This window comes from Homo sapiens, chromosome 7 (assembly GCF_000001405.40).
Source record: "Homo sapiens chromosome 7, GRCh38.p14 Primary Assembly".
NCBI classification, from domain to species: Eukaryota; Metazoa; Chordata; class Mammalia; order Primates; family Hominidae; genus Homo; species Homo sapiens.
In genome coordinates this window covers 136,696,850-136,701,587 of record NC_000007.14, presented here as the reverse complement: position 1 = coordinate 136,701,587, position 4,738 = coordinate 136,696,850, and positions in this window count along the sequence as shown.

Below are 4,738 nucleotides of genomic sequence, written 5' to 3'. Positions count from 1 at the left end.
GACTTCATGGTAGCAGAATTTTATTTAATTAGAAATGTAAAAAATTAGACAATACAAATTCAGAACCCACTCCACTATTTCAATTAATTGAAGATAAATAGACAGTTTGGCTAAGATTTTGACAAATTATATTGCGAATTCAGCCAGCCTTACAAAATGAAAAGAGCAAAAGTAGTAATAAATACTTTGTAAATGTATTTAAAGAAGCAGGTTTCCAAAAAATAAAAATAAAATAAAAAATAAACAGATTAAATTAAGCCTAACCTAACCTTGTAAATTATAAAGGAAAGAACCTCGAGGTTCATCCAATTGCTTACTTCCTCTTCTCTTTCTCTTTTCTATGGAGGCAACTACTACTGTTGGTTCTTCAAATCTCCTTTTGTGTGCCAACTTCTTTAGGAAAACTTTCCTGACCCAAGGTCTCTGTAAGATACCATTATTCTGTTCTTCCAAAATACTTGCATAGTCTCTATTATAGCCCTTGTCCCATGGCAATGCGATAGTTGGTTTACATGTCTAGACATTATAGCCCTAAACCTCATACTGAGGTCATCAGACCTTAATCTGCTTACAGGTAGAAACCATGCCTTTCCTCTCTACATTCTGACCCAAGTACATAATCTGGCACAGAGTAGGCACCTGATAACATTGTGGGACATATAACCAGCTAGCATTTAAAGCCCTGGTCCCAGAAATAAACTTTAAATCTAGAAATATTTTATATATTGAACAAATATCTTATCAGCACAATTTTTATTATTCCTACATTTTATTTTACATTGTGGTCCTTCGGAGAGAGAGAGAGAGAGAACTAAAAAAGAACTTATACCCAAGAGTATTTTTTAAAAAACTTACAGTCATTTCATTTCAATGTCTTTGGTGTTTTCCTTAAACTTGGCTGAAAACTTTACAAACTTCAAACAATTAAGTAGTTCTAACCCATGGAGTCAGGAAAAGAAGATTATATATGAATAAAAAGTGAGAGAAGAAAGCCAATTAAGAATAGGTGAAAGGAGACAGAGATATGAACTATTCTTCAAGAAATTAAGAACAGTCAATATCAACATATTTTTATTAAGTACCTACTATAAATTATATATTAGATTTGATACCGAATGGAATTTGATGTGGTTCCTAAATCTAAAAAGTTAGAGCCCTGGCTTGAAAATAAAAGAGGAAAAGGATTTCATTTACACTAACATGATACTAAGGCCTAGAAATGGAAGAAAGCAACAGGAAATCCATTTGTGTGCCCATTTAACTCCTAGCTTAATAGATGACTACTGATAGAAAGATATAGCTACTATTCTTGCTCTACTATTTAATAGGTGTATAGTCTAAGTCAGGTCATTTAACCACCCCGACTTTCAGCAGCAATATCACTACGCAGAATGGTTGAAAAGTCTGACTATTGAGAATTATATAAAAATGCCTGGTACATGGTAGCCACTAATTTAACTTTTTATATAGTGCTGTTCTCTTTTATTCTGGATATTTCTAAGCTTTAAAAAGTTATTAGAAACACTCACAATTTTTAAGAATTTAAATATTCTTTTGTGTTCTCACGTAACGAAAACTAGTTTTGATGTGTCTGACCTATATCAGTAATGTCACGAAACAACAGAAGGAAGTGGAGGGAGTTGCCTTTCACTCAGAAAACTTGGACTGGAACAATGACTTCTCAAGGTCCAGCTCACCCCAGAGTATGTGACACTTGGTTTCATGGTGGTGGTAATAAATGGTTATGTTTCTTTTCGTTTCCATCATTATAATACCATAATTGGTACATCTGTGACATACAGGATTCCTGCTGTCCTGAAAGCAGTTACTGAAATAAAAATCTGGGCAATGTTTTTCCTAAACGTGTAATAGCTCTTCTCATTGCCTGCTTTGTTAAGGAGGCAGATAAGAAAAAACAGGAGGGAGGAAGTTCCTTGTTCTAAACTCTACAGACAGGGAACTATACAACCCTAATCCTCCAGAGAGAATGCTCTTCTACCTAATGTGGAATAGTGCCAAAGACCTATGGTTAAGTGGAGGAAGCGAGTCGAGATCCGAGTGGCTGCCCAAATCTAGGCTTTTTCTGAAGTCCACTTACATATATGTAAACATATACAAATGTACATAAACCCACAGGGATACCCTAACACACATGCCGATGAACTTACGGATACCCACATTTATTCAAAGACATCAATCGAATAGCTAAAGATCTGAGTATGTCAATAAGAAGCTTAGTAGGCAAGCAAGAGGGAGTAGAGGTGACACAAGTAGGTTATAGACGGAGAAAAGCAATGTGAGCAAAGGACACCAGTGTGCAGTATGTGTCAGTTCAGAATACAAGCACAACCAGGCCTAAGAGCCAGAGGGATCCCATCCTGTTTGGTGAGTGAAGCTTCTAAATTTATCTGTGCTATTTGGAGCCATCATATGCATTCATGTTTGGCCTTCCCCAGGTGCTGGCTGTCTGATACCAATGGAGACTTTTAATTTGAAAAGACTATATCTGGTGATTATTTTAAAAAAAATGAAATGAAATTTTTCTTTTTCACAGAAGATAATTCTTCTGTGCCTAATACCAAATGCTTCGTCTTTAAATGGCATTATCCTGAAAGCAATAATCACATTCATCTTCCAAGTGCTTCCCGTGCCTCTTGTTACTCCTTAGGCTTAAGGGCCACTTGACACCCTGTACCTGATGCCTCTGCAGATCTTGTCACTGAGATTTTAATGCCCATTTGAAATAAATCAGGAGTGATTATCATCCAGTGAAAAGTTCACTAGAACTCCATGTATGGTATTCTACCGTCCCACCACTGGAGAGAATTTCTCTAGTGAATTTTATGGAAAATATTCTCTAGTGAATATTTATGGAATTAAATGATTTGATCAAATTAAAGAATAAATGTTTAAAGTCAGTCAATATACATATGTACAAAAGGCAGGTTTTAAAATTGTACTCGATTTAAAAGAATTTTTCTTTTCGCAAAAAAAGAAGGCCTTTCCCATATAAACACATCCACCTACTCAAACACACACACACTCGTATACCCACAGGAGGTGATATTTAATCTAGGCAACCCAGAATATAAAGCTGTACTCTCCTCTGCAGAACATCATTCTGACAGCTCATATGTTGCTGGGGCTGTGTGGACTCCCTCCAAATCAGCATGCTTTCAGGGGTTTTCTTAAGGCAAATACAGTGGTCTGATAGCTCAGGGAGCTTTGCCAAGTGATCTGGTATCATGATAACTAATCATGCCTATGTGGAGAATTTTTCAACCAGGCTGTAAGTGTTAAAAAGAGGCAGAGTAGCTGAAGCAGCATGCTGAATTGTCCTTATCTCTGAGGTTGAGTTTATGTATCCCCAAGGCTCCGGTTGGTTCTCTGAGTTGGCAGAGAGAAGGCCAGGGGAGATTATGTTTTCCAACTGCTTCCTTTTCTCCTAGACTCTGAAGGGATTGTAGCAGTGATGCTTCCCCTGAATACACTTGATCCTTCTTGACACTGGCATCCACAGAATGCCTCTGGGAAAATAACATTTAATGAGTGTGAATTTGTTAGGTGAGGTGCTACTCACTTCACCTACAGCATATCATGGAGCTCTACAACTGTTCTAACGAATTGGCAGTCTGATATTGATTTTACATGCAAGCAAACTGAGGCTTAAGAATGGCTAAATAATAGACAAATCCAGATCTTGATAGTAAGTGGCAAGACCAGGATTCAAACTTGGTCAAGATGACCGGGAGTCGTCTTGGGAGTTCATCATACCAGGCTTTGACTATTACATTCATGTCAAATGCAATCTGAGTGCAGCCAAGGACAGCAAACTGCAGTGCGCTCCAGCCTGGGACCCATCTGAGGGCAAATCTGAGAAGAGCCAGTTTCCGTGTAAACACAGGGCATCAGTTTCCCTGACAGATGTCTGCCTTTATGAATCTTCCTTCCAAGGGTGCATCTCCACTGACAGGGATGTAGATTTTCATCAGGCAGGAAAAGTCATGGCATAATCTGAGGAGGTGTCTGTGTTCTGGCAAATCTCCTTTCTTGCCAAGTATAGTTTCAGAGGCTGGAGATGAAGGTGGGAATGTTCTCTCATTTCTGTTCCCAGGAAGATCGAGGGCCAACTTCCTGGCTTGCAAGCAAGGCGGCTTTTCTCTACAACCCCACTCCTGCCTCCACAAACCCCAGTCTGTCTGTTTAACACATATTTCTTTCTTCTAAGTGGTATAATTTAAGAAGAAAGCAAGTAGACAATTTCTGAAGTCAGAGAAGCACTTTCAGAATTAACACTACTTTAAATTTCCAATATTTTTAAAATAGTTCACCAAGAAACAACTGAGAAGCAACTGAGAAAAGGGCATTAGATACTACTTTTAACCATGTGTTCAGCAATGGTGATACTGAAAATCTTCAATGCTCTAGGTTTCACCCACTGGCATGGGAATGCTTGCTTAGTCCTGTGTCCAGAATTAGAGGTAAAATGTAGTCAAGGCTCCCACTTCCCTGGGCACAGTGGCCAGTGGTTTGGCTCTGCAAATGATAAAATCGGTGACCAGGGACACATGCTTTTCCCAGGTATGAGGATGAGTTTGAGGCAGACCACACATTTATTTGCATGGAACCTCCATATAATCAATAGCACAGTTGGCTAGGTAGCAGTAGGAGGGCTGTCAGGGTTGTTTTCTCTATACAGTTATCAGCTCTTATAAAACCTGTGAATTCTCCAATAATA